The 12,808-nt window shown below is 43.5% G+C and overlaps 1 protein-coding gene and 1 pseudogene across 8 annotated transcripts in view; one reads left to right on the top strand and one right to left on the bottom strand.

The window, feature by feature from the left end:
- GPN3 (GPN-loop GTPase 3) overlaps positions 1–12,808 on the top strand; it is a 16,236-nt gene extending 3,428 nt beyond the window's left edge. For 6 of the 8 annotated variants that reach the window (NM_001164372.2, XM_047428934.1, XM_047428933.1 and 3 more), the window contains 7 exons: positions 80–188; positions 5,432–5,599; positions 7,660–7,784; positions 9,364–9,479; positions 9,612–9,708; positions 11,423–11,551; positions 12,198–12,808. In NM_001164372.2, the coding sequence (NP_001157844.1) occupies positions 80–188; positions 5,432–5,599; positions 7,660–7,784; positions 9,364–9,479; positions 9,612–9,708; positions 11,423–11,551; positions 12,198–12,260 (807 nt within the window). In that variant the 3' untranslated portion in view covers positions 12,261–12,808. The remainder of the gene's footprint in view (positions 1–79; positions 189–5,431; positions 5,600–7,659; positions 7,785–9,363; positions 9,480–9,611; positions 9,709–11,422; positions 11,552–12,197) is intronic. The other 2 variants (XM_047428936.1, XM_047428935.1) reach the window with 1 other exon arrangement.
- Positions 3,959–4,334, bottom strand: RPL31P49 (ribosomal protein L31 pseudogene 49; annotated as a pseudogene).

The following is a 12,808-nucleotide window of genomic DNA, read 5'->3' as shown; positions in this document are numbered from 1 at the left end:
AGTGGATAGTATTCCAGAGTATGGAAGGTAGCACTACACTACCTGTTGCTTTAACCTCTCATGCCTTGTGACATTACAGAGCACCTACTGTGCCACCATGGTCCAGCACTGTGAAGCCCTCAACCGGTCTGTCCAAGTTGTAAACCTGGATCCAGCAGCAGAACACTTCAACTACTCCGTGATGGCTGGTAAGTCCTGAGCAAAGGCTCCCCCCACCTTCAGGAACAGTAAGGGCTGGGGAGGCAGTGAGTACTAGCTGCTTAGCACTGATACTTATTATAGTCTGGATCCCTGGTGTTATGGTAAATAGCATGAGCTTGTCATTTGGTCACATCTGTTCATGGTGATATGTGTGACAGTATCCTTTCTTGGTCTTTGATGTAAGATTTAAAAGTAAATGGGGCCGGGCGCGGAGGCTCATGCCTGTAATTCCAGCACTTTGGGAGGCCGAGGCGGGTGGATCACGAGGTCAGGAATTTGAGACCAGCCTGACCAACATGGTGAAACCCTGTCTCTACTAAAAACACAAAAAAATCAGCTGGGTGTGGTGGCATGTGACTGTAATCCCAGCTACTCAGGAGGCTGAGAAAGGAGAATCGCTTGAACCCAGGAGACAGAGGTTGCAGTGAGCCGAGATTGCGCCACTGCACTCCAGCCTGGGCAACAGAGCGAGACTCCATCTCAAAAAAAAAAAAAAAAAAAGTAAATGGACACTTCCCTCAGCACCCTTTCATTCTGTCCCTTTTGTCCTTAGTCCTGCTGTAGTGAATCATGTGGTATATTGCTGATCACTATAAGTCAGGAGCCTGGGTTTGTTTTTTTTAATTCTTTCAATTTGTTCATTCAAGTGTCTGTTGAACACCTGTTTTACGCCAGACACCGGAGTTATAGCAGAGAATAATACAGACATTATCCCTGCCCACACCAACCCTTTAGGAAATAGGCAATAAACAACATGATGAACATGTTACAGAATGTGATGACTGCAGACAGGCTCATGAGAAGTACTCATTGAGGTTGCTTTAGCTAGAATTGTCAGGGAGAATGGTGACTCTGAGGAGGGGATCTTTGAGCCTAGACCTGAAGGATGGTAATATGCTCCTCAGGCTGAGGAAAGTCCTTCCAAAATGAGGGAACATTTAGATCAATAAATATGCCAAGCTGGGTGCAGGGACATGTGCCTGTAGTCCCAGCTACTTGGGAGGCTGATGTGGGAGGATCACTTGAGCCCAGGAGTTCAAGTCCAGCCTGGGCAACATTGCAAGATCCATCTCTGAAAAATAAAATAAATAAATAAATAGCCTGGAGGTGAGAAAGGATTTGGTATTCTCCAGGAAAGCTAAGATGTCAGTGAGCTAAAGCGTAATGTCTGAAAGAAAGAAGTGGGTAGGGGCTAACAGGACATGATAAGATGGGATTTTATCCTGTTGTCAGTGGGGTGCCACTAGAGGGTTTTAAGAAGAGGAAAGGATTGACATTTGATACACGTTTTGGGGTTTTTTTTTTTTTTTGAGACAGGGTCCAGCTCTGTCGCCCAGGCTGGAGTGCAGTGACACAACCTCTGCCTCCTGAGCTCAAGCCATCCTCCCATCTCAGCCTCCCAAGTAGCTGGGACTACAGATGCGTGCCACCATGCCTGGCTAATTTTTATACTTTTTTTTTTTTTTTTTTTTTTTTTTTTTTTTTTGTAGAGACAGGGTTTCACCATGCTGCCCAGGCTGGTCTCAAACTCCTGAGCTCAAGCAATCTGCTGGCCTCAGTCTCCCAAAGTGTTGGGATTAGAGGCGTGAGCCACTGCATCCGGCCTTTTTTTGTTTTTGTTGTTGTTGTCGTTTTGTTTTTGAGACAAGGTCTCACTCTGTCACCCAGGCTATATAGTATAGTAGCCTGATCACAGCTCATTGCAGTCTCAACCTCCTGGACTCAAGCAATCCTCCTACCTCCCAAGTAGCTGGGACTACAGGCACACACTATCATGCCTGGGTAATTTTTGTATTTTTTGTAGAGGCGGGGTTTCTCCATGTTGCCCAGGCTGGTCTCATTGCCCAGGCTGGTCTCGATTTCCAGGCTGGTCTCAAACTCCTGGGCTCAAGTGACTCACCCAGCTTGACTTCCGAAAGTGCTGGGATAATAGGCATGAGCCACCGCACTTGGCCTGATTTATGTTTTAAAAAATAACTCAGGTGCTCAGATGAAAAATGGACTCTAGTGGGTTGAGAGTAGAAGTACAACCTGCATGGCTGGGCATGGTGGCTCACGCCTGTAATCCCAGCACTTTGGGAGGCCGAGGCAGGCGGATCACAAGGTCAGGAGATCAAGACCATCTTGGCTAACACAGTGAAACCCCGTCTCTACTAAAAATACAAAAAACTAGCCGGGCATGGTGGCGGGCGCCTGTGGTCCCAGCTACTGGGGAGGCTGAGGCAGGAGAATGGCGTGCACCCGGGAGGCGGAGCTTGCGGTGAGCCGAGATCGCGCCACTGAACTCCAGCCTGGGCAACAGAGCGAGACTCCGTCTCAAAAAAAAAAAAATACAAAATTAGCTGGGTGTGGTGACACATGCCTGTAATCCCAGCTACTCTGGAGGCTGAGACAGGGGAATCGCTTGAACCCGGGAGGCAGAGGTTCTGGTGAGCCGAGATCGTACCATTGCACTCCAGCCTGGGCAACAAGAGCAAAACTCCATTTTAAAATTAAAAAAAGAAGTACAACCTGCACTGCCGCTGTTGTAGTTAGCCAGGTGTACACCAGGACTAGGGTGGTCACGGTGGAGATGTAAGGAAGCAGACAGATTCAATATATTTTGCAAGTTGAATTAACAGCATTTTGTGGGGGATTGAACCAAGAAGGCATAGCAAAGTAAGGAATCAAGGGTGAGGTCTTACAGCTTTGTTCAGTGTATGATATAATTTCCTGTGGAGGGAGACAGGTCGTTTTAGGTTTGGGGACGTTCTCTTTGCACTCACTAAGTGCAAAGGGAAACTTCTGATTTCTGTTAATGAGTGAGCAGGTTGCGGGGAGGCAGATTGAAGGGAGAGGAGGAGATGTGAAATGCTTTTCTTTGAGAAAAAAGGCATTGTATTACTTTGGAACCATTTGGCTGCAGCAAACAGAAACCACTCTAAGCTAGCTTAGTTAAAAAGAGGACTTAGGATGGGCGCTATGACTGACACCTGTAATCCCAGTACTTTGGGAGGCCAAAGCAGATGGATGGCCTGAACCCAGGAGTTCAAGACCAGCCTGGGAAGCATGGTGAAACCCCATCTCTACAAGTCAATACAAAGATTAGCCTGGCATGCTGGCGGGTGCCTTTATTCCCAGCCACTCAGGAGGCTGAGGTGGGAGGATCACTTGAGCCTACGAGGTCAAGGTTGCAGTGAGCCATGATTATGCCACTGCACTCCAGCCTGGGCAGCAGAGTGAGACCCTGTCTAAAAAGAAAGAAAGCCAGATTGATTGTCCCAATTTGGATCAGTTATCTGTTATTGATTGCTGAGGGAGGGGGTAGGAAGGTGTTGTCAGTATAAATGTGACTGTGAATGAAGCTCAGTCCTTTGTGAATGGAGAATGTAGGTTTGAGCACAAAAATAAGTAAAAACCTAAGGTAGAAGATTCTATATACTGATTCCCCAAAATTAGTAAGATAACCATACCAGAATTTTTTAAGCCTCTCCTGTTGGTGATTTTTTTTTTCCTGAGACAGTCTCTCTCTGCCACCCAGGCTGGAGTGCAGTGGTACCATGTCATCTCACTACATCCTCTGCCTCCTGGGTTCAAGTGATTCTCCTGCCTCAGCCTCCCGAGCAGCTGGGATTACAGGCACATGCCAGCACACCTGACTAATTTTTCTATTTTTGTTTGTTTTTGTTTGAGATGGAGTCTTTTTTTTTTTCAATTTTATAACTTTATTTGATGTATTTGACGATCAGTGATTAGTTCTCATCGACATTGTCTGTAGATTTTTGAAAGTGGTGACAGGTACATAGGTAACCAAAGTATATGGCTTATTTGGTGAATCTTCATCCTCATTACGTTTTCTGGACAGCTGCACACGGATTCAGTATGGGACATTCCTTATTCCTTTGGCCCAGACAGCTTTGTTGAGCCTGGTATCAATGCGCACATCTGGAGTTCCCATCTCCTTCATGGCAAATTTCTGAATCTCTTTGAGTGCCTGAGGGGCACGCTTCTTGAAGCCCACTCCATAGATGTGCTTGTGAATGTTGATGGTGTATTCTCGGGTTACCACTTCGTTGATGGCAGAATGGCCCTTTTTCTTCTCGCCACCCTTCTTTGCAGGAGCCATTCTGCTGGGTCCAAGTTGGAAAGTGAGATGGAGTCTTGCTCTGTCGCCTGGGCTTGAGAGCAGTGGCGTGATCTTGGCTCACTGCAACCTCTGCCTGCTGGGTTCAAGTGATTCTCCTGCCTCAGCCTCCGGAGTGGCTAGAACTACAGGCGTGCGCCGCCATGCCTGCTAATTTTTGTATTTTTAGTAGAGATGGGGCTTCACCATGTTCGCCAGGCTGGTCTCGAACTCCTGATCTCATGATCCCCCCACCTCGGCCTCCCAAAGTGCTGGGATTACAGGCATGAGCCACCATGCCCAGCCTAATTTCTATATTTTTAGTAGAGACAGGTTTCAGCATGTTGGCCAGGCTAGTCTTGAACTCCTGACCTCAAGTGATCCGCCTGCCTCATCCAAAGTGCTGGGATTACAGGCAGGAGTCACCGCACCCAGCCCCTGATGGTGATTTTGATATATTATCTCATAGTTCTCATCCTTCTAACCCAGGATAAGGAAAGTGAGGCTCAAGGAGGTGAAATAGTTTCCTTAGTGTCATTGTGTTAAGAAATGGTAATCTGTTTTCTTTTTTTGGTTTTGTACTTTTTTGGAATAGGTAATACATATTCACATGGTTCATAATGTAAAAGTACTAAAGAGTAAGTATACAGGAAAACATCTTCCTCTCAGCTCTGCATCCCAGCAATCAGCTCCCCTCCCTGGCAGCAGCCAGTGTTACCAGTTTCTGGTGTGTTCTTTCATAGCCTGTGCACATAAAATTCAAGATGTATATGTATTATGTCTATGTAGTGAATTTTTGTCTTTTATTAACACCAATGATAGCATTCTTACACAGTTCTGCACCTTGCATTTTTCACTGAACAATATACCTAGGAGATTGTATTATTATTAATACTTAAAGAGATTTTCCCCATTTATGGCTGTGTAGTATTCCATTGTCGGGCTGTACAATAATTTATTTGCTCAGTTCTCTATTGATGGACACTGCTACAGGGAAAAGCCATGTACATAAATAATTTCCTGCATATGGGTTTTTTATGTAATTATTAACTTTTATGTTCTATTTCTAGTAAGGATAACAATTTTTGAAGGGACACATATATTCTGGGCCCTATCTGTCCTTTTCAGACATCCGGGAACTGATCGAGGTGGATGATGTAATGGAGGATGATTCTCTGCGATTCGGTCCCAACGGAGGATTGGTATTTTGCATGGAGTACTTTGCCAATAATTTTGACTGGCTGGAGAACTGTCTTGGCCATGTAGAGGACGACTATATCCTTTTTGATTGTCCAGGTGAATCAACAATTTGAATGCATTGTCTTCCTTAAAGTCTTGATAGTTCCATCCTTAGTAGGAGAAAGGAGAGTGAGTATTTGTAGCTCTAAACTATACTGCAGTAAAGTACCAAGCTTATTCAATGGCTGTCACTTACTAAGTATATCTGTTGAGGCCGGGCGCAGTGGCTCACGCCTGTAATCCCATCACTTTGGGAGGCCGAGGCAGGTGGATCACGAGGTCAGGAGATCGAGACCATCCTGGCTAACATGGTGAAACCCTGTCTCTACTAAAAATACAAAAAATTAGCCAGGCATGGTGGCGGGCGCCTGTAGTCCCAGCTGCTCGGGAGGCTGAGGCAAGAGAATGGCATGAACCTGGGAGGTGGAGCTTGCAGTGAGCCAAGATTGTACCACTACACTCCAGCCTGGGCAACAGAATGAGACTCTGTCTCAAAAACAAAAAAAAAAAACAAAAAAAAGTATATCTATTAAGTGCTTGCTTTGTACACTGGGAATACCATAGAGCACAGATGGCCATGGTCTCTGGCCTCATGGAGCTCACATTTGGCAGAACTCGAGACAGTACAAACAAAAAGCATCCAAATGATTATTTAATATTCAGTTGTCATTGAGTATTCCACAGGAGTAGCACAGATCATCACACAGATAATGGCGGTTAGAGAGGCATCTGAGGCGGCCTTTCAGCTGGGCTGGAGGCTGAGGGTGAGGAAGGCAGAGGGCACAGCCTGCTGAACACCTCCCAGGAGGAAGGAACAAAGCTGTTTTAAGGCACTGAAAAGGCCAGTGTGGCTGGAGCATAATAAACAAAGAGGCAATTGTCATGAGGTGTGACTGGTAGGAGACAGATAATAGCACATCATGGCTTCTGAAGCCAAATCGTGAATTTTCTTTTTTTTTTTTCTTTTTTTTGAGACTGAGTTTCATTCCTGTCACCCAGGCTGGAGTATGATGGCGCCATCTCGGCTCACTCCAGTCTCCACTTCCTGGGTTCAAGTGATTCTCCTGTCTCAGTCTCCCAAGTAGCTGGGATTACAGGCACCCACCACCACACCCGGCTATTTTTGTATTTTTAGTAGAGACAGGGTTTCACTGTGTTGGCCAGGCTGGTCTCAAACTCTGGACCTTAGGTGATTCACCTGCCTCGGCCTCCCAAATGCTGGGATTACTGGTGTGAGCCACCACCTCCAGCCCAAATTGTGAATTTTCAACTTGAGCCTAACCTGGCTTTGACCATTTATGGCCCTCACTTTTTTCCCCTTGCTTTTAATTGACCATACATATACCCACAGAAAAGTATATATGTCATAAGTATACAGCTTGATGAATATTCCCAAACTATAGATATCTTTGTAGCACTTATTTATTTATTTTTGTAGAGATAGGATCTCACTATATTGCTCAGGCTGCTCTCAAAGTCCTGGGCTCAAGCTATCCTCCCACCTTAGCCTCCCAAAGTGCTGGGATTACAGGTGTGTGAACCATGGCATCTGGCCAATAACACTCATATTGATTGGCAGAAAACTAAAGTGTGAAGAACCTCATTTTCTTTCTTTCTTTCTTTTTTTTTATTTTTAAAGACAGAGTCTTACTCTGTCGCCCAGGCTGGAGTGCAGTGGCGTGATCTTGGCTCACTGCAGCCTCCTCCTCCCGGGTTTAAGCAATTCTTGTGCCTCAGCATCCCACAGGCGCGCACCACCACGCCTGGCTAATTTTTGTGTATTTTTAGTAGAGATGGGGTTTCACTATGTTGGTCAGGCTGGTCTTGAACTCCTGGCCTCAAGTGATCCACCTGCCACAGCCTCCCAAAGTGCTGGGATTACAGGCATGAGCCACCCTGCCCAACCAGAGAACCTCATTTTCTACATAAAACTTAATAGTTAGGGATTCCTATGGTGGCAGTACCTTAGGTTTTATGATTGCTTTGAGAGGCTGTGGGCCCCTTAAAAATGTGTTGGCTTTTATTTTTGTCCATCTTATGGGGAAAATTTGTTTCCTCTAACTTGATGATTTAACATACTTGCTATTTCTAAAATTCTTGCAATACTCTTCATGTAGGTCAGATTGAGTTGTACACTCACCTGCCTGTGATGAAACAGCTGGTCCAGCAGCTCGAGCAGTGGGAGTTCCGAGTCTGTGGAGTTTTTCTTGTTGATTCTCAGTTCATGGTGGAGTCATTCAAGGTCTGAAGCTAAATCTCTTACAGATTTTTTTTTTTTTTTTTTTTTTTTTTTTGTGTGTGTGACAGAGTCTTACTCTGTTGCCTAGGCTGGAGCGCAGTGGCGTGATCTCAGCTCACTGCAACCTCCGCCTCCCAGTTCAAGTGATTCTTGTGCCTCAGCCTCCTGAGTAGCTGGAATTACAGGTGTGTGCCATCATGCCTGGCTAATTTTTGTATTTTTAGTAGAGACGGGGTTTTACCATGTTGGCCAGGCTGGTCTCAAACTCCTGACCTCAAACATCAAGTGATCCACCTGCCTTGGCCTCCCAAAGTTCTCTTAAAGATTTTTAAACTATGAGTTCAAGCAGATGACAGTTCCTTTAATTATTGTGTGATTCTGAACATTTCACAAATGATTCCAGAGTTACTTTATCCCTTTTATTATTAAATTATAACATGTTGTTAATCAAAAATAGTAAATTATTATATCATAGAGATTTAGGAGGAACTGCTTACCAAGAAAAAAACTGAGGTTGCTGGGTGAAGTGGTTCACAGCTATAATCTTAGCACTTTGGGAGGCCAAGGCAGGAGGATTGCTTGAGCCCAAGAGTTTCGGACCTGCTTGGGCAACAGAGTGAGACCCTGTCTCTACAAAAAATATAAAAATTAGCTAGACGTTGTGGCACATGCCTGTAGTCCCAGCTACTTGGGAAGCTGAAGTGGGAGGATCGCTTGAGTACAGGAAGCAGAGGTTGCAGTGAGCCAAGATCGCCAAGATCGCACCATTGCACACCAGCCTGAGTGACAGAGTGAGACTCTGTCTCAAAAAAAAAAAAAAAGAGGAAGTAGTGGGGGAGAAAAAACTGAAGCAGATGGCTATTTTATAAAATAGTCTATTTTTAATTTTCTGAGGACCTTTTGTCCAGTTTATGAACTACCAAGATCAAATTTTTTATTAATAGCTCTTAAGGAATATTAGATGGGAAAGGAAATTAAAATGCTGTCTAAATTGAAATTTGTGATCACTGTATGTTATCTATATCTTCCCTCACCTTTGGGAACCAAGAATCAAGCATTTGATTCCCAATGATTTGGGAACATTTTTTTCTATATGGCTAGCATTACTTTTAATAAAATATAAATAATTTTGCCTTTTCCACATGTTCTGAACTGGCATTTCTTTTTTTTTTTTTTTTTTTTTGAGACCAAGTTTTGCCGTTGTTGCCCAGGCTGGAATGTGGTGGCGCAATCTTGGCTCACGGGAACCTCCGCCTCCTGGGTTCAAGTGATTCTCCTGCCTCAGACTCTTGAGTAGCTGGGATTACAGGCACATGCCACCATGCCTGGCTAATTTTGTATTTTTAGTAGAGACAAGGTTTCACCACGTTGGCCAGGCTGGTCTTGAACTCCTGACCTGAGGTGATCTGCCCGCCTCAGCCTCCCCAAGTGTTGGGATTACAGGCATGAGCCACCACGTCCAGCTTGCATTTCTTTTATTTAGGCCAGTTCTGTTCCAGTGAGGAATAGAAGACTCTTTATGCAGACCAGGTAACTGTTGGCAACAGTCAGTTCATCTTCCCTTTTCTGTTTCCTCCTTCAGTTTATTTCTGGCATCTTGGCAGCCCTGAGTGCCATGATCTCTCTAGAAATTCCGCAAGTCAACATCATGACAAAAATGGATCTGCTGAGTAAAAAAGCAAAAAAGGAAATTGAGAAGTGAGTTCACTGTTCTTCCATTATTATCAGATCTCAGTTGCAGAGATGAACCTTCTGTTTTATTTAGATGGGAAGTTTGGCTGGTTTATAAACCTAGTCTCCTGAATTCATCAGTCTTTCTGTCTTTTAAAGATTTTTAGATCCAGACATGTATTCTTTATTAGAAGATTCTACAAGTGACTTAAGAAGCAAAAAATTCAAGAAACTGACTAAAGCTATATGTGGACTGGTAAGCTTTTAAAGTTTGGATTTTTTGGCCAGGTGCAGTGGCTAATGCCTGTAACCCTAGCACTTTGGCAGGCCAAGGCAGCAAGATTGAGTCCAGGAGTTCAAGACCAGCCTGGGCAACATAGTGACACCCTATCTCTAAAAAAATTTTTTAAATTAGGCCAGGTGCAGTGGCTCACACCTGTAATCCTAGCACTTTGGGAGGCCAAGGCAGGCTGATCATTTGAGATCAGGAGTTCAAGACCAAGCCTGGCCAACATGGTGAAACCCTGTCTCTACTAAAAATACAAAAAAAAATTAGCTGGGCATGGTGGTGTGCGCCTGTAATCCTAGTACTCGGGAGCCTGAGACAGGAGAATCACTTGAACTCGGGAGGCGGAGGTTGCAGTGAGTTGAGATCATGCCACTGCAGTCCAGCCTGGGCGACAGAGTAAGACTTTGTCTCAAAAACAAAAAAAAATTAGGCCAGGCGCGGTGACTTACGCCTGTAATCCCAGCTCTTTGGGAGGCCGAGGTGGGTGGATCACCTGAGGTCAGGAGTTTGAGACCAGCCTGGCCAACATGGTGAAACCCCATCTCTACTAAAAAATACAAAAATTAGCCAGGCGTGGTGGTGCATGCCTATAATCCCAGCTATTCGGGAGGCTGAGGCAGGAGAGTTGCTGGAACCCAGGAGGTGGAGGTTGCAGTGAGCCGAGATCTTGTCATTGCACTCCAGCCCGGTCCAACAACAGCAAGACTCTGTCTCAAAAAAAAAAAAGCCAGGCATGGTGCTGCACGCCTGTAGTCTCAGCTACTGTGGAGGCTGAGGTGGGAGGATCCCTTGAGCCTGGGAGGTCAAGGCTGTAGTGAGCCATGATCAGATCATGTCACTGTGCTCTAGCCTAGGCAGCAGAGAAACCCTATCTCAAAAAAAAACAAAAACAAAAAGGGCGCCAGGTGTGCAGTGGCTCACGCCTATAATCCCAGCACTTTGGGAGGCCAAGGCAGGTGGATCACTTGAGGTCAGGAGTTCAAGACCAGGCTGACCAACATGGTGAAACCCCGTCTGTACTAAAAATACAAAATTAGCCGGGCATGGTAGGGCACACCTGTAATCCCAGCTACTCAGGAGGCTGAGGCAGGAGAATTGCTTGAACCTGGAGGTGGAGGTTGAGCAACAAGAGCGAAACTCTGTCTCCCCAAAAAAAAAAAAAAAGAAAAAAAAAGATGAAGTTTTTTGGGTTTTTTTCCTAAACACCTGGTCAAGTGTTTGCCTGTGTCCAGTCATTTGCCATATAAAAAGCACAGTTCAACCCTATTTTCTGCAAAGTGGAGGGAAAAGGGCTGTGGGCTGGTCAGTCAGCAGTTTAATTTAGAAGTAGTTATTGGTAGTGGCCAATAAATAAACTAACATCTTATTATTTCAAGCCATTTGGAGAGTTCAGGACTGTTTGTTCTCTTGTGAAATTTCCAGTGGTTGTTGAATTCAGATAAATAGCCGTGAAACAGTGTCTAGTTAAAGTAATAAGCTAACAAGTGTTCTAGCAGATCAGAAGTCAGAAAAATCAATGATTTACTCTCTGTGTCTAGCTATCCCTTCTCCTCCTCTTCCTGTAAACACATCAGTGTTTTTATTCAGAAGTACAAATGGTTATAAAACTCAAATATAAGTTGAAAATTATGTATTTTGCACAACTTCAGAATGAACTTTTCTTGAAATCCACAACTTGTAGATTGATGACTACAGCATGGTTCGATTTTTACCTTACGATCAGTCAGATGAAGAAAGCATGAACATTGTATTGCAGCATATTGATTTTGCCATTCAATATGGAGAAGACCTAGAATTTAAAGAACCAAAGGTAATTTCTGGTTTGGGGTGTTTGTTAGCTTTTGATAAAAATATTTGCCAGCACTCACTGGACTCTTGCATAATCCAGGCGACTCCTTAAATTAGTTTTTTGTCTTATTGATGGCAGTTAACTGGGCTTTTCTGGGTGATCTCTGAAATTAACACTGTACTCCACAAGCAGTATCACTTTTACTCTACTTTTGTTGAGGCAGTATGATGAAGCCTGTGTGTACTTAGAGCTTGGGTGTATGTGTAAAGAGGAGGTGAAATTGGGCTGCCCTCACGTATGTCATTGAGAAGACTAATGATAGTATCAGCTAAGCATTTTTTTATTTTTTTATTTTTTATTTTCCTGACCACTAGACTACCAGCGAAGTAAAGCACTATCACAGGAAATTAGCCAAGAATCGTCTTGAATGTAAATTCAAATGAGAAATGCTTCTGGGATAGAAGCACATTAATTTACTACATAACTGGAAAAAAATCTGTCAATCATGCCTTTTCTTACTATTAACAGTTACCTATAAGCAGCACCTGGAGCTGGTGCTGGGTAATTAGTTCCACATAGGGTATTACCTGAAAAATATATAAACACATACTAGTTCTGACTGAGGGGAAATGAATATATTTTCTATTTTGTGTTTCCATTGTGTCAGGAACGTGAAGATGAGTCTTCCTCTATGTTTGACGAATATTTTCAAGAATGCCAGGATGAATGAAGAGTTTACTAAAAGTAACCATCTAAAGAGCTTGTGGCCAAACCAGCAGAACATTCTTCTCTTCAAAGGATGCAATAGTAGAAAGCTACTTATTTTAATGAAAAAAAGTAAAACTTCGTTCTTTATCAGCCTCATGCCTGAATCAAATTTTTAATTATTCTGAAACTGCTGCTGTTTAAAGTGGAATCTTTTAGTATTATAACAGCATCACTTTAGATTTTGTAAGTCAAAATTGAAATGAATGCACATAGATTTATATATAAATTAGCACCTGAGCTAAGGTTAAGGCTGGTCTAAACTTATTTTCACTTTTTGTATTATTTTTGAGATGCAGGAATTACTGTAACAAAATATGTATGTCCGAAGGGAAAAAGCTGCAAGGATATATATAAGACCACTGCTTATCTGTATCTTCCCATTTTCCTATATTGAAAATGTATATTATTTATATAACTTAAAAAGTAAAAATAACTATGTTTTGAGATATGTATGTGTATATATAAAAGAAACAAAGGTTTTTAATGATTCTTGGACCTAGATAACAAGTA

This window comes from Homo sapiens, chromosome 12 (assembly GCF_000001405.40).
Source record: "Homo sapiens chromosome 12, GRCh38.p14 Primary Assembly".
Classification (NCBI taxonomy): domain Eukaryota; kingdom Metazoa; phylum Chordata; class Mammalia; order Primates; family Hominidae; genus Homo; species Homo sapiens.
Note: the sequence above shows the minus strand (reverse complement) of the source record. Positions and strands in the feature narration are given on the sequence as shown.